The 22052-nt window shown below is 35.9% G+C and overlaps 1 protein-coding gene across 5 annotated transcripts in view; it reads right to left on the bottom strand.

Moving 5' to 3' along the window:
* Positions 1–22052, bottom strand: part of LUZP2 (leucine zipper protein 2) — a 585586-nt gene that overhangs the window by 79160 nt on the left and 484374 nt on the right. For all 5 annotated transcript variants that reach the window (NM_001009909.4, NM_001252010.2, NM_001252008.2 and 2 more), the window contains one exon: positions 20186–20353. In NM_001009909.4, coding sequence (NP_001009909.2) covers positions 20186–20353 — 168 coding nt within the window. The remainder of the gene's footprint in view (positions 1–20185; positions 20354–22052) is intronic.

The following is a 22052-nucleotide window of genomic DNA, read 5'->3' as shown; positions in this document are numbered from 1 at the left end:
CTATATCCAGTTATACCCACCCCTATACCCTGCTCTCTCAAATACCAGAGGAAGCAGAATGGTTCACAGTTCTGGACCTCAAGGATGCCTTCTTCTGTATTCGCCTGCACTCTGACTCCCCAGTTTCTCTTTGCCTTTGAGGATCCCACAGACCACACATCCCAACTTACGTGGACCATCTTGCCCCAAGGGTTTAGGGATAGCCCTCATGTTTGGTCAGGCACTGGCCCAAGATCTAGGTCTCTTCTCAAGTCCAGGCACTCTGGTCCTTCAGTATGTGGATGATTTACTTTTGGCTACCAGTTTGGAAGCCTCATGCCAGCAGGCTACTCTAGATCTCTTGAACTTTCTAGCTAATCAAGTGTACAAGGTGTCTAGGTTGAAGGCCCAGCTTTGCCTACAGCAGGTCAAATATCTAGGCCTAATTTTAGCCAGAGGAACCAGGGCCCTCCGTAAGGAATGAATACAGCCTATACTGGCTTATTCTCACCCTAAGACATTAAAACATTTGCAGGGGTTTCTTGGAATCACTGGCTTTTGCTGACTATGGATCCCTGTATACAGCAAGGTAGCCAGGCTCCTGTATACTCTAATCAAGGAGACCCAGAGGGCAAATACTTATCTAGTAGAATGGGAACCAGGGTCAGAAATAGCCTTCAAAATCTTAAAGAAGGCCCTACTATAAGCTCCAGGTTTAAGCCTTCCCACAGGACAAAACTTCTTTTTATACATCAGAGAGAGAGCAGGGATAGCTCTTGGAGTCCTTACTCATACTCGTGGGACAACCCCACAACCAGTGACATACCTAAGTAAGGAAATTGATGTAGTAGCAAAAGGCTGGCCTCACTGTTTGCAGGTAGTTGCGGTGGTGGCCATCTTAGTGTCAGAGGCTACCAAAATAATACAAGGAAAGGATCTCACTGTCTGGACTACTCGTGATGTAAATGGCATACTAGGTGCCAAAGGAAGTTTATGGATATCAGACAACTGCCTACTTAGATACCAGGTGCTATTCCTTGAGGGACCGGTGCTTCAAATACATATGTCAATGGCCCTCAACCCTGCCACTTTTCTCCCAGAGGATGGGGAACCAATTGAGCATGACTGCCAACAAATTATAGTCCAGACTTATGCTGCCCGAGATGATCTCTTGGAAGTCCCCTTAGCTAATCCTGACCTTAACCTATATAACGATGGAAGTTCATTTGTGGAGAATGGGATATGAAGAGCAGGTTATGCCATAGTTAGTGATGTAACCATACTTGAAAGTAAGCCTCTTCCCCAAGGGACCAGCACCCAGTTAGCAGAACTAGTGGCATTTACCCAAGACTTAGAATTGGGAAAGGGGAAAAGAATAAATGTGTATACAGATAGAAAGTATGCTTATCTAATCCTTCATGCCCATGCTGCAATATGGAAAGAAAGGGAGTTCCTAACCTCTGGGGGAACCCCCATTAAATACCACAGGGAAATCATGGAGTTATTGCACTCAGTGCAAAAACCCAAGGAGGTGGCAGTCTTACACTGCCAAAGCCATCAAAAAGGGAAAGGAGAAGGGAGAACAGCAGTACAAGCAGCTGGCAGAGGCAGCAGAAAGGAAAGAGAGAAAGAGACAGGAAGTCAGAGAGAGAGAGGAAGAAACAGAGAAAGATAGGAAGTCAAAGAGAAGGAGACAGAGAGGAAGAGATAGAGAGACAAAGTCAAAGAGAGACAGAGGAAGAGACTGACAGAAAGTCAAAGAAGGAAAGAGAGAAAGAGATAGACAAAGATGAAGTCAAAGAGAAAGAGAGATATAAGCAGTAAAGAAAAAACAGTGTACCCTATTCCTTTAAAAGCCAGGATAAATTTAAAACCTATAATTGATAATTGAAGGTCTTCTCTGTAACCCTATAACACTCCAATACCACCTTGTTGTCAGTGTAAACAAGGCCATAGCCTGAAAACACTGAGGTCACTGACAACCCATAGCTTTCCTATAAATAATCCTTAACCCAGCAGGTTTCCTAACAGGGGATCTAAATCTTAATTAATTACCATACAAAGGTCTGACAAATCTAGGAGGAACTCCCTTCAGGACAGGACTAGATGGTTCCTCTGAGGCGATTAAGGAAAAAAGACGTAATAGGTATTCAGTAAATGATAAGGAAACTCTCCTAAAGCAGAGTTAGGAAAATTGCCTAATAATTGGTCTGCTCAAATGTGTGAGCTGTTTGCACTCAGCCAAACCTTAAAGTACTTACAGAATCAGGAAGGAGCCATCTATACCAATTCTCAGTTAATATGGACTGAATGAGGTCTTATTAATAGCAAAGAATAATTGAAATCCCAAACTTACAAGGTTTTCAACAAAAGTAGAGTTTGCTAAAAGTTAACAGTGTAAACATATATTATCCTAACTTCTAATCTTATGGAAATCAGAACCTACCAGTGCCCCTCAAAGCTCAAGTCCATCAGCGCAGGGCCATACAACTAATACCTCTACTTATAGGGTTAGAAATGGCCACTGCTACAGGAACCAGAATAGCCAGTTTATCTACTTCATTATCCTACTACCACACACTCTCAAAAGATTTCTCAGACTGTTTGCAAGAAATAACAAAATCTATTCAGTAAGGATAGTAACTACAATCCCAAATAGACTCTTTAGCAGCAGTGACTCTCCAAAACCACAGAGGCCTAGACCTCCTCACTGCTGAGAAAGGAGGACTTTGCACCTTCTTAGGGGAAGACTGCTGCTTTTACACTAACCAGTCAGGGATACTAAGAGATGCCACCCGGTGTTTACAGGAAAAGGCTTCTGAAATCAGGCAACACCTTTCAAACTCTTATACCAACCTCTGGAGTTGGGCAACATGGCTTCTCCCCTTTCTAAGTACCGTGGCAGCTATTTTGCTGTTACTCACCTTTGGGCCCTGTATTTTTAAACTGCTTGTCAAATTTGTTTCCTCCAGAATTGAGGGCATCAAGCTACAGGTGGTCTTATAAATGGAACCCCAAATGAGCTCAACTAACAACTACTACCAAGGAACCCTGGACCAATCCTCTGGCCCTTTCCCTGGCCTGAAGAGTTCCCCTCTGGAGGACACTACAACTGCAGGGACCCTTCTTTGCCCCTATCCAGCAGGAAGTAGCTAGAGCAGTCATCAGCCAAATTCCCAACAGCAGTTGGGGTGTCCTGTTTAGAGGGAGGATTGAGAGGTGAAGCCGGCTTGGGCTTCTGGGTCAGGTGGGGACTTGGAGAACTTTTCTGTCTAGCTAAAGTATTGTAAATGCACCAATCAGCACTCTGTGTCTAGCTAAAGGTTTGTAAACACACCGATCAGCACTCTGTAAAAATGCACCAATCAGCACTTTGTGTCTAGCTAAAGGTTTGTAACCGCACCAATCAGCACTCAGTACAAACGGACCAATCAGCACTCTGTAAAATGGATCAATCAGTGCTCTGTAAAATGGACCAATCAGCAGGATATGGGCGGGGCCAAATAAGGGAATAAAAGCTGGCCACTAGAGCCAGCAGCAACAACCCACTCTGGTCCCCTTCCACACTGTGGAAGCTTTGTTTTTTCACTCTTCACAATAAATCTTGCTGCTGCTCACTCTTTGGGTCCACACTAAATTTATGAGCTGTAATACTCAACACGAGGGTCTGCAGCTTCATTCTTGAAGTCAGTGAGACCAACAACCCACCAGAAGGAACCAATTCCGGACACAATAAGACTTAATTAACAAGGTTGTGAGTTTAAAACAATTTATTTGTGAGAAGTGCTTAGAAATATATATAACATTGCATGTGTCACTTAAAATGTAGCCACTATTTTGGGCAGAGAGGCTCACACCTGTAATCTCAGCACTTTGGAGGCCGAGGTGGGCAGATCACGAGGTCAAGGGATTAAGACCATCCTGGTCAACATGGTAAAACTCTACTAAAAGGAGTGTTACCACTCCTTCTCATCTTCTCTTCCTCCTCCTCTTCTTCTCCTTCTCTTTCTCTCTTCTTCTTCTTTTTCTCCTTTTCCTTCTCTTCTTTCTCCTTCTCCTCCTTCTTCCTCCTCCTCCTCCTTCTTCTTCTCCTTCCTCCTCCTCCCCATCTTCCTGCTCCTCCTCCTTCCTCCTCTTCCTCCTCCTTCTTCTTTTTCCTCTTCTTCTTCCCCTTCTTCTTCCCTTCTCTCATTGCAATATCTGTATCTCCCCATGGTTTACTATACCTCTGGAAATTATCATTTCTGCTGGTTTTTAGAAGTATAATTGAAGGTCAATAAAGAACTAAATGTAATTAGTCATAATTAGAGTTGGAGGCTATAGAAAGTGAAAATTCTTAGGCATGAGACATTCAAATTTTGAACATCATTAAATGAAATGTAACATTGAAATTTTGAACATCATTAAATGAAATGTGATAAGGGCTCAATGACCATGTGTTGCATTAGATCATTATATATGATGAGGCAGTTAAGAGATTAAAGACATTTGTTGAACTAGGAATAACCTGAAGGAAAATGGTGGTGATGACTTCTAACAGACAGCAAATTTCACACAAAAACAGTTTTAAAATTTTAAACTATTTTAAAATAGTTTTAAAATTTATGAAGTAACTGTTTTTAGTTATCGACTGCATGCATGACAGTATTGTGATCCCTGAGAGAAAGAAACCAAAAACAAAAAAAAATGAAAGGTGAGTCTTTTATCATCAAGATTTTATGCCTGGAAGCAATTCTTTGGCTGAAAGTCCAGGTTTGAATACCTGAAAGAGAGCCCAGAAATCCTATTAAGTTGGGTATAGGTAGACAGGATTTCAAAAAAGCTGAACTACTAACTCTTGTGAAATATTTCTGGAAAGTAGAGGATTAAGCAGAAAGATTTCTAAAAATCTGATTTTTATTTCATTAAGTTTTTCCTGAATATCATGTTCTGTAGAAATACGTGGAACTCCACAAGACGAGAAAAACCCCATTGTCTCACCCAAAATCTCCTTAAGCTGATAAGCAACTTCAGCAAAGTCTCAGGATACAAAATCAATGTACAAAAATCACAAGCATTCTTATACACCAATAACAGACAAACAGAGAGCCAAATCATGAGTGAACTCCCATTCACAATTGCTTCAAAGAGAATAAAATACCTAAGAATCCAACTTACAAGGGACGTGAAGGACCTCTTCAAGGAGAACTACAAACCACTGCTCAATGAAATAAAAGAGGATACAAACAAATGGAAGAACATTCCATGCTCATGGGTAGGAAGAATCGATATCGTGAAAATGGCCATACTGCCCAAGGTAATTTACAGATTCAATGCCATCCCCATCAAGTTACCAATGACTTTCTTCACAGAATTGGAAAAAACTACCTTAAAGTTCATATGGAACCGAAACAGAGCCCGCATCGCCAAGTCAATCCTAAGCAAAAAGAACAAAGCTGGAGGCATCACGCTACCTGACTTCAAACTATATTACAAGGCTACAGTAACCCAAACAGGATGGTACTGGTACCAAAACAGAGATACAGATCAATGGAACAGAACAGAGCCCTCAGAAATAACGCTGCATATCTACAACTGTCCGATCTTTGACAAATCTGAGAAAAACAAGCAATGGGGAAAGGATTCCCTATTTAATAAGTGGTGCTGGGAAAACTGGCTAGCCATATGTAGAAAGCTAAAACTGGATCCCTTCCTTACACCTTATACAAAAATTAATTCAAGATGGATTAAAGACTTAAATGTCAGACCTAAAACCATAAAAACCCTAGAAGAAAACCTAGGCATTACCATTCAGGACATAGGCATGGGCAAGGACTTCATGTCTAAAACACCAAAAGCAATGGCAACAAAAGCCAAAATTGACAAATGGGATCTAATTAAACTAAAGAGCTTCTGCACAGCAAAAGAAACTACCATCAGAGTGAACAGGCAACCTACAAAATGGGAGAACATTTTCGCAACCTACTCATCTGACAAAGGGCTAATATCTAGAACCTACAATGAACTCAAACAAATTTACAAGAAAAAGACAAACAACCCCATCAAAAAGTGGGCGAAGGACATGAACAGACACTTCTCAAAAGAAGACATTTATGCAGCCAAAAAACACAGGAAAAAATGCTCACCATCACTGGCCATCAGAGAAATGCAAATCAAAACCGCAATGGGATACCATCTCACACCAGTTAGAATGGCGATCATTAAAAAGTCAGGAAACAACAAGTGCTGGAGAGGATGTGGAGAAATAGGAACACTTTTACACTGTTGGTGGAACTGTCAACTAGTTCAACCATTGTGGAAGTCAGTGTGGCGATTCCTCAGGGATCTAGAACTAGAAATACCATTTGACCCAGCCATCCCATTACTGGGTATATACCCAAAGGACTATAAATCATGCTGCTATAAAGACACATGCACACGTATGTTTATTGTGGCACTATTCACAATAGCAAAGACTTGGAACCAACCCAAATGTCCAACAATGATAGACTGGATTAAGAAAATGTGGCACATATACACCATGGAATACTATGCAGCCATAAAAAATGATGAGTTCATGTCCTTTGTAGGGACATGGATGAAATTGGAAATCATCATTCTCAGTAAACTATCGCAAGAACAAAAAACCAAACACCGCATATTCTTACTGATAGATGGGAATTAAACAATGAGAACACATGGACACAGGAAGGGGAACATCACACTCTGGAGACTGTTGTGGGGTGGGGAGAGGGGGAGGGATAGCTTTAGGAGATATACCTAATGCTAAATGACGAGTTAATGGGTGCAGCACACCAGCATGGCACATGTATACATATGTAACTAACCTTCACATTGTGCACATGCACCCTAAAACTTAAAGTATAATAAAATAAAATAAAATAAAATAAAATAAAATAAAATAAAATAAAATAAAATAAAATAAAAAAAGAAAAAAGAAAAATAATATCTGAATAATTGTAACGTGAGAATTCTTAGAAGTTGCACAGGGTGGGAAGACAATTACAATGGAAAATCCTAGTTCTAATCTGTGGCATTTTGTGGAAACCCCAGAAGTTTCATAATTTAATAGAATGTAAGAATTATTCATGAAGTGAAGGCTACATTAGATCCATTCTAGAAAATTTAAAAACATGCCTTGAGAGTTGAATCTGTTTTACAAGTAGTTAATTGGAGAGAGAGAGAGAGAAAGATAGAGGAAATATGAACAGGGAGAGAGAGAGAAACGTATTATTTATTTAATAGAAAACAATGAAATCCAAGTTTAAATAAAATAATGACCAGTCAAAAAACATGAAACATGTCAAGAAGAAGAAAAATATGATTGATAATCAGGAGAAAATTCACTCAATAAAAAATGACCGAAAAAAACTCAGATACACAATTTGTTGTTAAATATATTATAATAGATAATATTTTTATAATCAATATGCAGAGGAAACCAATAACAAAGAGAAAATAAAATATATAAAAATAATTAGAACCTATAGATAGAAGAATATAACATTAACAATAAAAATGAATTATACAAAAAATTTTACTGGATTTTTAAATAATAAGTAATGTAGAAAAAAAAGATTGGGTCATGTAGCACTAACACTGAATTTAGAATGACTTTTTTCTCCCTTATCAGAGTTGGAATTGACTTTCTAGAAAATTCTGGAAACAAGTAAACAGCAAGTGAAAACCAAACCATTGACCTTTCAATTGTGAATTGAATTTAGAGCATGCTGATAACCATTGAAAAAAGAAAACAAAATTTAAAGCATTCAGAGATAAAATACATATTAAATACAAGGCAAAAAGGAAAAGATAATCACATAATTTATTATCTGAGCTATGCCAGCTAGAAGGCAATGGGGTGACATTTTTAATCTACTAAATTTAAAAATCTGTCAACCTAGCTTACTAAATTCAGAAAAAAAAAACTTTAAAAAGCAAAATGAAATAATTTCAAGTAGAAAAAAATGAGGTAACATGAAAAGTTAAATTTATACTGATGAAAGATGAGTCCAGAAATGATAAATATGAGTCCCCTTAAAAGAGCATTTTTTCTCAATTTCATATGCATAAATATATGTTATTAGCTTTTTATTTTTATTTTCTGAGGACAAGGCCTTGCTCTGTCACCCAGTCTGGAGTGTAGTGGTGCAATCTGTGCTCACTGCAATCTCTGCCCCCCTTGCTGAAGCCATCCTTCTCCCTCAGCCTCCCAAGTAGCTGGGACTACAGGCGTGTACCACCACGCCCAGCTAATTTCTGTATTTTCTGTAGAGATGGGATTGAGCCGTGTTGCCCAGGCTGGTCTCATACTCTTGAGCTCAAGGACAAGGCTCACCTGCCTCGGCCTCCAAAAGTGTTGGGATTACAGGTGTGAGCCATCACATCCAGCCTGTAATTCATTTTTAAAAGCAAAACCTATATCAATTTATTTTGTGGTTATAACAGTTATACAATTGAAATGTATGACAATGAAAAATGAAAATAAAACGTTTTATGGTATTCTTATTTGTGTAATGTATAACAGTATAATATAATTTCAAAGTAGATTGTGCTAAGTCAAAGGTGCTTATTGGGAAATCCTAGAATGACACCTAGAATATAGAATATTACATACAGGACTGACAATGGCAGTGTAGATGAAATGAAAAGCAATATATTCAATTTATTAAAAATGTGGTAAGAATTGTATTTTATACACTAGCAAGGACATTTTAAAGATTAAATTACCACCCTGAAAAAATAGAATATTCGAAGATTTAATATTGTTAAGACGATAATAGTCCCTAAGTTATCTAAAGACTCAATGTCATCCCTTTAAAATCTGAGCTTTATTTGTTTTTCTAGAAATTGAGCAGGTAATTCTCAAACTTATTTGAAAAATGCAATGACCAAGAATAGCCAAAGCAAACTTTAAATACAAAGAACTAAGCTGGAGGAATCCACTTCCTCATTTTAAAATACACTACAAATCTACCATAGTCACTGCAAACACTGTCAGATAGATAGGCATATAGATTAATGGAACTGAATTGAGAGTCCAGTCCCTTGCATCATGATCAACTGTATTTAGACAGGCCATTATGCCAATTCAGTGAAATAAAACAAGTCTTTTCAACAAATGGTGTTTAAACAACAAGATGCCACATGCAGACAAATGAAGTTTGATCACTACCAAATACAACATATAGAAGTAAACTCAAATTAAATCATATGCCTAGATGTAAGAGTTAAAATTAAGTCTCTGAATAGAAAAATAGGAGATAATCTATGACCTCACACTAGGCAAAGTCTTATTAAACATAGCAATATCACAAGTGCCAAAAAAAAAAAAAAAAAAGGGCCAGGTGCAGTGGCTCAAGCCTGTAATCCCAGCACTTTGGGAGGCTGAGGCAGGCAGATTATGACGTCAGCAGTTCGAGACCAGACTGATTAACATGGTGAAACCCCATCTTTACTAAAAATACAAAAATTAGTCGGGCGTGTTGGCACGTGCCTGTAATCCCAGCTACTCAGGAGGCTGAGGCAGGAGAATCACTTGAACCCCGGAGGCGGAGGCTGCAGTGAGCCAAGTTTGCACCACTGCACTCCAGCCTGGGCAACAGAGCGAGACTCTATTCCCCCACACCCCCCCCAAAAAAAAGAAATGGAAAAATATATTGGACTTCATCAAATTTAAAAACTTGTGTCTTCTGTGCTGCAAATGAAATCTTCAATAAAGTGAAAATACAACCCCCAGAATGGAAGAAAATATTTGCACAAAGACACAGCTTAAAAATAAAATATAATAATTTGAAAAGGATGTAGTATTATTGATGTAAAAACTGGTGTGGCTATCATAAAATTAGGCAAAATAGATATCAGGACAATAAACATTAAAAGGCACAAAAAAGGCATCGCATAATGGTAAAGGGTGAATTCATTAAGAATATATAATATTTCTAACTGTGTATATGATTAATCATACAGTTTTATCTACCCAGTAATAACTGGGAGATACAGAAGCAAATGAGAGCATGTTTTACTAAAAGATAAAACAAGACTGGCAATAACTATGATTTCCTTAATATATTTCCCAAGAGGCAGAATACCTAGAGGAAAGATGTAAATAACCCAAATAATGACATTGATAGAGTTTTGGTATTGACTGCTTTTACATTATGACATTTTAACCTTCTCTTTTTTAATGTAATAGTTGTTAATTTCCTTATAATTGAAAACAAAGTAAAACAGATTTACTGGGATTGATTTTCTCCCATTATATATCACCTAAGTTTTCAGGCCAGATCAGTCAATGTAGTGGGGCATAGAGACAAGAACTGTAGTTTTCCAGACAGATAATGGTAATACCAAATTCTAACTTTACAATTTACCATGTTTCTAATTTTTAGCAAGAGTCTAATTTCCCTGAAAATTCAGATAATTTATATATCAATAGAATATTGAATTCAATTTGTTGTAAACATAAATAAAATATTGTTGTGAAGCAGAGAATTTTCTTTGAAACTTAAAAAGTAATTGTATATTTTGAATCTTTTCACTTCAGGTAATTTTCAAATTCAAATAATGAAAAGATTTCTGGATAAAGGAACAAGAAGCTCCAGAATTGTGAACTGGCATTATGTATACTTAAATTAAATATGCTTAAATTTGTGCTTTACTTCACATAAAATGTAATAACACAGATATACAATAAATTCAATAGGGAAGTCATCAAATAGATAGTACAACTTGTATGTCACAATGTCTTGGAAGCAGTATTATACATCAAAATGAATTATAAATGCAGATGTCAGGGAAAATAAATAAATATTTGTATTTCAGTCAGAAAATTTTTAGGTATTGGGAGCAATGCTTCCTGGAAGTAACTCTGACATGTCCTTTTAAATAATTCATTTATTCATTCAACAAATATTAATTGAATAGTTTCTGTATATCACATTGTTTTGAAAGTTTGGTATATGTTAGTGAGCAAAAGAAACTTAGTTGCCTATTTTCATGGAGCTTATGCTTCAGGTAATTCAATTAATCTAATTCCATTAAAACAGCCAGCAGCCAATACCACCTTATTGTATTTTATCATATTTATAGTCCTAAGAAAATCATGGTAAAATGGTTCACCCATCCCCCATCACACATAGACACAGACACATACACACACAATTATCTTTTCCAAAATAGAGTACAATAAATGTTTGCCTACTGTTTACTGGACTAGTTCACCAATTCTAGTAGTTCAATTTAAGTATTCAATCCCACTAAGTGTGATTTTCTTACAGCCTGTTTTTGGAGTATTGGTGATGCAATGGAAACTTGCCAATGTATGTATTTATGAGGAGCTCACAGGCTAGCCAGGGAATTTAGGGCAGAGTCTCAAGGTTAAATTTTTCACAAATGCCATATAAATACAATAAAAATGCTGAACCACAATAGATAAGAGCTTTTGCACCACAAAAGGAACAGTCAGCAGAGTATACAGACAACTCACAAAGTGGGAGATAATCTTCACAATCTATAAATCTGACAAAGGACTAATATCCAGAATCTACAATGAACTCAAACAAATTAGGAAGGAAAAAACAAAGAATCCCATCAAAAAGTGGGCTAAGAACATAAATAGGCAATTCCCAAAAGAAAACATACAAATGGCCAACAAATATGAAAAAATGCTCAACATCACTAATGATCAGGGAAATGCGATTCAAAACCACAATGCAATACCTCCTTACTTCTGCAAGAATGGCCATAATCATAAAATCAAAAAATAATAGATGTTTGTGTGGTTGCAGTGAACAGGGAACACTACTACACTGCTGGCGGGAATGTAAACTAGTACAACCACTATGGAAAACAGTGTGGAAATTCCTTAAACAACTAAAAGTATAACTATCACTTGATCCAGCAATTCCATTACTGGCTACCTATACAGAGGAAAAAAGTCATTAAATGAAAAAGATAGTTACACACGCATATTTATAGAAGAACAATTTGCAATTGCAAACTGTGGAACTAACCCAAATTCTCATCAATCAACAAGTGGATAAAGAAACTGTGAGAGATATATGTATATATATGATGGAATATATATATATATATATATATACACACACACACACACACACATATATATACACACACATATATATATACACACACACACATATATATGATGGAATACTACTCAGCCATAACAAGGAATAAATTAATGGCATTCGCAGCAACCTGGATGAGAACTGAGACTATTATTCTAAGTGAAGTAACTCAGGAATGGAAAACCAAACATCGTACGTTCTCACTCATAAGTGGGAGTTAAATTATGAGGATGCAAAGGCATATGAATGATACAAAGGACTTTGGGGACTCAGGTGGAAAGGTAGGAAGCAGGTAAAGGATAAAAGACTACAAATAGGGTGCAGTGTATACTGCTCTGTTGATGGGTGCACCAAAATCTCACAAATCACTGCTAAAGAACTTACTCATGTAACCAAACACCACCTGTTCTCCAATAACCTATGGAAATAAAAAATTTAAAAAGGAAAAATAAATAAAAATAAATGCTTAAACACAATAGAAACTCAAGGAAGTAGTCAAAAAGAGTTGACATTTGAGATGAACCCATGAAAGGGGGGTAGAAGTTCACCAGCATTATGAGTGATGGTTGTTGGGTGGGGGTTAAAAATATATATAGAATAAAAAGGCTAGAATTATGTAAGGATTTGAAAAATATATATTCTTGACTTTTATTTAGATTCTTTATATTTCTAACTCGAATGAGTCTTTTAAAATCTTGAACTCTCAGGTTGTCTAATAAGATCACCAAATATGTGCCAACTCTATTTACTGTCTTTCAGCTTCTATGTTCTCACCAGTTGCTGTTTTAATGGAAGTTTTGTAATTTTTCCTTAGGATTAACCAAGGAATCCCATATAAATGGTTTTCCAGTCTTCATCTCTGCATTTACCTTTCAATTCATCATTTTGCAGTATATACAAATAGTAAATATTTGAACCATATATTACCAATGGTTAGTCATATATTTTCCCCATCAGTGAGACAAGATTATGTTCAAAATCTAAAGATTTGTCCTTGACTCAAATTAACCTTTGCTGAAAAACAAAATGGAGCAGTTAAATTTAAATTTTACATATAAAATTCATAAAACATATACAAAAATTATAAAGGTATATGTATATATAAATTGTAAAATACATGTTTGTATGTGTGTGTGCATGTTTAAACAGTTGGAAAACTTCAGGATAACCCATTCAATAGTCTTTTGAGTCATGCTAGATATAAGCAACCTGAACTACCTCGAAAAAGGTAGTAAAATTTGAGTGCATTCATTTAGGTTTAGGGGAGATGAACAATCTGTAATTTTGCTAGCATTGTCAGATAATTACAAACTTGCCCAGATTGTAAGAAAGGGGGCATAGACCCCATATATTGATGGACGAATATCAGAGAATATGTGGCAATATTTTAAATGATCCCACCTAAAAGTAGGATTAAATGGAGACAGATGACAATTGCAATTTAGGTGCCCAGTGATTAGGAACTGATGGAAAAATAATGAATCAATTTAGTTTGTATATTTATAATAATTAGCAATACTAGTATAGAAAAAAAACAACCTGATTTTAGAACTACCAGACCTTAGTTTAAATCTTGTTTTCTATTAGTTGGATGACGTAGGTCAAATATCTTAACCTTACATTGTTTAGCTTAGTGACTTGAACAAATGGGCCAGCATATTCTCTTTGAATATAACCCAAATGCTGGACATCTAGAAATTTGGCAAGCTCAGTTTCACCGTATCCCAGTTGTTCATATAATTCATTTTGCTTTGTTCCTGACTGAAAGATATAGGAAAGAAATGTCAGCATCAGGATGGCTTTCACAGAGTCCATATTTGTCTGTTCTATCTCCACATAGGAAGCAAGCTATACTGTCTGCAGTTAATGCTACACCTTTGAATTGATATCATGAGTGTCAGAGTTTTGCTATTCTGTGAGTCTCCCATAACATTAGCTTCTTTAGCTATTAAACAAAATAAATAATGAAGATATCCTAAATTTTAAAGACATTATATTTCCCTGAGATGTAGAAGCCATAGTTTAGCAAGAAACTGACAGTCTTTAGGAATGTGAGATTTGTTCCACCATAATGAGCAAAATACAGTCCACCAACATGGAACCTCTCAGATTTCCCACTGCGGGGAGCATAATTGACTGAAAGCCCCATTTGCTAAACTGTGACTTCCCCCGCATGTGATGCAACAGGGCTAGTAAGGTAGCCCATTCCCATAAAATATGGGGACTCATCTGATGGATGACTTTTATACGATGGCTTCCCATTGACATTTGCCAAAGTTGTTTTTCTTTTCTTTTTTTTTTTTTTTAACTGCACAGGAATCTAAGCCTTTTTATATCTAGATCCTCTTTCTTCCCTCACTGCTCCAGAATGATCAGATCTGCACTGGGGCCTGATGGCTCTTCCGGCCTCCTATGGCTGCCTCCCTATTTTCTCTCACAGGCATTTTTCCAAATAAACCTCTTGCAAATATAATTCTGTGTTGTGTCTTCTTGGAGGACACAACACAATACAAAAATCCTAGAAGATAACCTTCTAAAACTCCGATATCCAGCTTCTTGAATGTAAAAAAGATATTGTCCTTATGGATAGTCACAGTAACTAAAAGAAATATAGCACGTATATCCCTAAGCATTGCTTTGTATACTCAAATTACTTAATACATAGTTATTAAATGTATGATTCAGGAAAAACATATTCAAGTTTAAGGTCATACTGATGCTTATCAGGGCTGTTAAAAGAATCTTATAATAAAATGCATAATCATGTCTTCTTTAACACTATTTCATAAAGGACCACATTACATAGTCATATTTTATATAGTTAATTAAATTACTCTTTGCATATAGTCACGGTATTTTACATCCATAGATTCTTCTAACATTCAGTAACATGTCTCATAATAAAGTAACAAGAACATTGGCTGTGATGCCTTTAGAAAGTTGTGAGGAAACATTATTTTATCTCTGAACTACAACTTCCTTTGCAGAAACCTAGGGAATAGAGTTTGATTAGGGATATCTAGACATAGACTCTCTTGTTTCCCACTGAAAAAAAATTTTACCTTCTAATGCTATTCATGTTCTTTCTTCCAGAATGGTATTATAAGCTTTGAATATTAAAAGGAGGTTGAAAAGGAAATATTGGCTTTAACACATACTGTGAGATCTCACCTCCCTCATGCATCCTTTCACATGGAGGATAGTTCATGGGATGTTGGAGATAACTAAATGGTTAGTGATTGATGGACAGCAGGTGGAAAAACAGAACTGTTTAAAATTGATCACCTCTGTATTATTTGAGAAATCTCTTCTAGAAGCAGAGAAGTAGAGAGATAGGGCAAGCTTACTTCTTAGAGTCCTTTCTCATTTCTAAAATAAGGATCTTACTCATGTTCAACCTTGGCTCTAAATTAGAATCATCTGTGATTTTTGAATAACCTCCAAAACTAGCCTAAACTCCTGCTAAATTGTATCAGAATCAGGAGTATTGACACCCAGGTGTGAGCATTTTTGAAGCCCATAATAATTTGAAGATGCCGCCTAGGCTCAGAACCTTGGCTTATGATGATTCCAGGTGCACTGTTTTGAGGTTTCTTAAAAAACTACTTTGTAACAGATTTTTGGCAGAAAAGAGGAAAAGAAAAATGTACCTTGATCTATCTAAACTTCCAGGCACCAAGAAAAATGCAGTTTTCACTTGCATGTCTTTAAGCTCCTAAAGAGAGCCCCATTCGTTCCAGGGCCTCCTGCCCTGGAAAGACTTTGGCATTTACAACACATTTAAACAAAAATTAACAAATCATCCTTTTCCAATTAAGTAGATACCACAGTTGTGACCTTCAACAATATAAACTGCAACTAAGGCAGTGAGTTGAAAAGAAAAAGAAAAGAAACAGTAATAGCCTGGGATGGCGTGACATATGGGTTTTCATAGCACAGTTTCATTGCTGTTTATCTGCATTGCTTATCTGAATTGCTTTTCATTTCTGGTGTCTTTAAACATTCTCCTTTCTTTATGACATGTACTATTATGATCCCTGACACTAAATGGATTGTAAGGATTCTGCTATACTTTTATGATAAAAAACTGAAGTTACACTTATTTGAATTAATGTATTCTAACACTTGAAAAATAATACAATGTAAATAGTGTAGCTTTATTCAAAGTTAAAGTAACATCCCACTAAAAATTTTCTTCAGGTGTTTTCATGTTATCCTGGCTTTAAGAGATCCTAATACTTGTTTCACGTATTTATTGACTGCTTTATGTGTGTCAGGCACCACAACATATGCTAATGTTTTATGTGAATTTTTGTATTTGATCTCCTCAACAACTTTCTAAGGTTGGTGCTGTAATTATCTCCGTTTAATAGACACGAAAGATGAGTCTTAGAAAAGTTAAGTAATTTGATCAAGGTATTAAAATTAAAAAATAGCAGAAAAGAGATTTTTACTTAGTCTGACTAATGAATCCTACCTCTTAAACGTTCTATTATGCAAATATAAACACCAAACATATTACTGTGTATTAATTCATATCTTTTAAACTAAAAGTGGTAGGATTCTTGGTGATATGTTTTCTGTTCTTCCTTTTATATTTATTTTTTCCAAATTCTATAAAGCATATATTTTATAAAAAATGAATATAATTAAATATTGCAATAGATATACAAAGTGAGTTTTTTCAGAATGCTATTAATTACACAAGCCTTTTTGTTTATTAATTTGCCTTTTCTGAGCACTACTGTGCATCTAGCTCTACCACATAGCAGTAGAAAAAATGTTAGTCACTTTTTTTGTATATTATCTATAATGCCAAGTAATCCTATCTTAAATGTTACACACACACACACACACACACACACACACAGAGGCATGCTATTCACTAGCTCTGTGGGTTAGGAGGACCCTGATTTATAGTGTTAGTCAATTTCTACAGTATAAATGTTACCAATTTCAATCTGATAACATGATGTCATTGAACACAAATTGCAAAGAGATATACAGTAGTATACTATTATATAGTATTTCCACTATACAGATTCAAAATATACAATATCCTGAACAGCACAGATTATGGCACTATATAGTAGCTTTGGTATTTACCACATTGCCATTGGTAGAATTTATTTAATTGTAAGTATATATAATATAATATTTAATAATGCCTGTATTTAACAGTTGAATAGTACAAATTCTGTAAATTTAACAGTCAACTTTTGCAAGCATGTATAAGCCAGCTCCAACAGACCACTGGAGTATTTATCATTCTGAATAAACACAGTGACATGCATGCTCTATTTTTTGCAATAGCAAAATAGACATAGAAAAGTCATGGCTCTCAGCTTAAATATACATTAGAGAGTATCTCAGCAAAATAATGGGAATAAATGCACTTTTGTCATAAACATTCCCTCTGTTAGCTTACACACAAAACCATACTCATGTTACTTCTCATGTCTAGTGACTTTGCAGACCTCATCTCTTTTCACTCCATACTGTCTCTTCAGGTAATTTTATTTATTTCCAATATTTAACCCTATTCATTGTGATGATATCTAATCTAATATCCTTATTCAGATGTCTTCCCTCAGTTCCAGATTTAAATACATAATCATCTACTGGATACGGGCACTTGGTTTTATGACAGAAACCCAAAACATAGCAGGTTAGAAACAAACCAGTTTGGCTTCCCTTTTAAAACCTCCTCTTGCCCTTTACATCATAGTGAATGAATGCAAGGACTTTTATTCTTGATTTCCTGCCTTCATGCTTCCCATTTAGTCACTAGGTCATGACAATTATTATGACTCAATAACATTTCGAATACTATTTTCAGTGTTGGTGACATAAAGTAGGTCACCATCCTCTCCTACATAGGTCAGAAGATTGTCACATGGTTTATTTGTTTCTACTTTAGTTTGGGAGTTGGGGTCGTTTTACGCAAAATGCAGATCAGATCCCCTGGTTTCTACCTTGACTTTTTATATATTCGAAAGAATATTATTTTCTACATAACAAATATATAATATCATAACAAAGACATAAAAGATACGTCATCTCCTGTGTGTTTGTATCCAGGTATCTAGAAAACAAACAAGGAAACAAACAGAAGATGACCTGATCTACTACTAAGAACAAATCCGGCAGTTTTCTTGTTGTCTCTTGCAGAAAATTAGGCTGCAATCTCCAAAAGTTGAGGGCTGTGTCACTTGAAATTTGCTGTCTTAGTTACTAGCAGAGTACTGGTACATAGAAGAAAAACAATGTAGTTGAATACAAAACACTAAACAAACAATAATGTATAATTTTCTAAATTCCAAATAAGTAAAATTTATAAGAATTTATACGAAAATTTATAAGAAGAAGAAGGGTATACCACAAGTATTTCAAATGAATTTTCTAGAAACATCATTCTGGACACTAAATAACATTAAACAGATCAATGAGCTAAGCACAGACATCTCTCTGAAGAAGGAAGACATAGGCAGAGGTAACATTCAAGGGATGACCAAGGGCCAAGAGTAGTAAACACTCAGCTGTCAAAGCAAGCACTGAGGAAAGAAAAAATAATTCTAACTGGGAGGGTAAGAAATAATTCACTCAGAGAGAAACCTGCATCTCGATTTTATAAAGGGTAATGATGAAAGGGTATCTGAGGGACTTCGTTGAAGACTCTCAGCAGAAACTTAAGCTATAGTTCTAACAGTGAATGTAACAGGTATGCACCATAATAAAAACAATAAATTTAAATGGTGGGGGTACTGATATATTAATTATTTTTAACCTTTTTCTAGTAAACCCTTGCAATTTTGTACTCCTCCCTTCGTGAACTTGTGGCTTTTAAAATTCACAATTATATATATATATATATATATATATAAAATATGTAATTTACATATAAAAACACAGACAATAATATAATATAGTTGAATACATTGTTTTGAATAATTTTTAAAAGAGAAACATTAATATTACATAAGGATCTCATACAGACTAAATCTTTGTAGTTCATAAGTTGACTAGTTACACATAAAAACAGTATATCAGAAGATTTACTTCATTCTATTATTTATGACTCTCCATCCTGAAAATAGCATTTCCCTAATCTACCCACTTTAATTCAAAAATAGGAAATCTCAGAAGTAAGCAGTAAGAAAGCCAGATGTAACACATCATTAGGTATTTGCATTAGTGGTTCTTAAGTTTTTCTGCACTCAACCCTTGAGATTTGCATTTAGAAGTCAGGCTGGTATCCATAGCACTCATTTTAATAACAAGTGATGCTCAGACAAGTGATCAGAGAACTAGATCTTTCCAACATACTGCCCAAAACAAAACTCCCTCCCCCAAAGATTATTTCTGGCTCTCAGGATTTATTTCAATGTATGTAGGGCCTACAAATTGAAGTTTTTGAAGATTGAAACAAAAGCACCATTAAATGTTCTTTGTTTTGTCTAAAGTAGGTTGGTGGAGGGAATTTGGAGGAAGATTTGCTCAAATGAGTTGTCCTTAAACTTGAACGCACCTTAAAATCCCCTGGGACTTTGAAAAATTACTGATAACTGGAGTCTAACTCAAAAAAAAAAAATCTAATTTAATAGGTCTGGGAAAAAAAACCCCAGGAGTAAGGCTTTTTTTTAATGTAAATACACCTAAACACACTTTTAAAAATATTTACACTAAGATTCTAATGTGCAGCCAGTGTTGAGAGTTGTGGACTTAAGAAAAAAAAAATGATTTACCTTTCTGAAGATACTTGTGCCCCAGAAGAAAATATTCCCCATATCAAACCTGTGATGTTTATTTCAATGTAATACAAGATATTCTCTTTTAACTTATTCCAACATTATTAGTTTTTGTTTTGTGTTAAACAATTAGATGATTCTGCCTAAGAATCAGCTAGGCTCTCTATGAAAGAAAAGCTCCCTTCCAACATTCTTCTAGTGACTATGGAGATTTTACAAGCTGGGTTACTACCTTCCATTTTCCTCCTAATCTTTCAATGGATTTGTTATCATACTTGAATCCACTCTGGTGATTATATATACTGGGCTTTAAAGACAACACATTACTTGCTGTTACTTTACAAAGCGCAAATAAAAGGTAGGTACCTTGCTTTTGGCCGCTGCATCTGGAAGCTTAGAGGCAATATTCCTGGGTGGGAGTAACATCCGAGTTGGATTTGATGTGATTAAACTCAAAGGGGGAGGAGGCTGATCACGGAAAACAGATGTCAAGCAGAGCTGCACAGTCTCTTTCATTGCTTTCATCTGTGACTCCTACAAAAAAAGAGGCATTAACATATTTACATTTAGCTATGCTCATCAATTATCTGCTTGCATTCTCCCTTTCCTCTTAGCCTATACTCCCCACAAAAATACATATCACTTTTCAAATGTAATTGCCTAATTTATAAATTTCATTATGACATACTTTTATATCCACACTCAGTCTGTTTCTAGGAGCTAATGCATTTCATGATATATTTTGAACACTGAAATACAAAGATATGTCTTATTACTTTCTCTTGAACTGACATGATTTCCACCATGATAGTTTGCAGGAAAGGAAATATACTCTAGGTTACTCTGATGTAGAAAATATCCTTTTTTGAAAGTTACCATCTTTATTTAACTTTTATTTTAGGTTTGGGGACATGTATGAAGGTTTGTTAAATAGGTAAATTTGTGTCATGAGGGTTTGTTGTACAGATTATTTCATCTCCCAGGTCCTCAGCCCAGTACCCAGCAGTTGTCCTTTCTACTCCACTCTACTCTTCTCCCTTCTCTCATCCTCCACCCTCAAGTAGACCCCAGCATCCGTTGTTTCCTTCTTTGTCTTCCTAAGTTCTCATCATTTAGCTCCCTTGTGGGAGTGGTGGGTATTTAGTTTTCTGTACCTGCATTAGTTTTCTAAGGATAATAGACTCCAGCTCCATCCAAGTTCCTGCAAAAGACATGATCTCATTCTTTTTTATGGCTGGATACTATTCCATGGTGTATATGTGTCACATATTATTTATCCAATCTGTCATTGAAGGGCATTTAGGTTGATTCTATGTCTTTGTTATTGTGAATAGTGCTGCAATGATCACTCACATGCATGTGTCTTTATGGAAGAAAAATGTATATTCCTCTTGGTGTATACCCAGTAACGGGATGGCTGGGTCAAATGATAGTTCTGCTTTTACCTCTTTGAGGAATCGCCATACTGCTTTCCACAATGGCTGAACTAATTTACACTCCCACTAACTACATAAGTCTTCCCTTTTCTCTGCAACCTCACAACCATCTGTTATTTTTTAACTTTTTAATAACAGCCATTCTGACTGGTGTGAGATAGTATCTCATTGTGATTTTGATTCGCGTTTCTCTAATAATTAGTGATATTGAGCTTTTTTCATATGCTTGTTGGCCACATGTGTGTCTTCTTTTGAAAAGTGTCTGTTCATGCATGTCCTTTGCCTATTTTTTAATGAGGTTGTTTGTTTTTCTCTTAAAAATTTAAATTCCTTGTATATGCTGGATATTAGACCTTTGTCAGATGCATACTTTGCAAATATTTCCACCTATTCTATAGGTTGTCTGTTTACTCTGTTGATGAAACTTGCCATCTTTCTTTCTGCATCAACTTTCTGTATTTAGAATCGTTGCCATAGCAATGTAGATTCTTGTGTTTCTCAGATTAGCCTATATCTCTACTCGATTTCCCCACATAATGGTAAAAACAAATTTGTCTCTGATAAAACTCTCATTTCCTCTGGGCCTTGTTAGGTAACAGCGTCAGGGGCGTTTGAACCAGAGCAACTCCATCTTGAATAGAGGCTGGGCTTAGACCTACTGGGCTGCATTCCCAGGTTAGGCATTCAAAGTCACAGGGTGAGATAAGAGGTCAACACGAGATATAGGTCATAAAGACCTTTCTGATAAAACAGATTACAGTCAAGAAACCAGCCAAAACCCCCAAAACCTAGATGGC

The sequence above is a fragment of the Homo sapiens genome, chromosome 11 (assembly GCF_000001405.40).
Source record: "Homo sapiens chromosome 11, GRCh38.p14 Primary Assembly".
NCBI lineage: Eukaryota > Metazoa > Chordata > Mammalia > Primates > Hominidae > Homo > Homo sapiens.
This window is presented reverse-complemented; position numbering and strand designations above follow the sequence as displayed.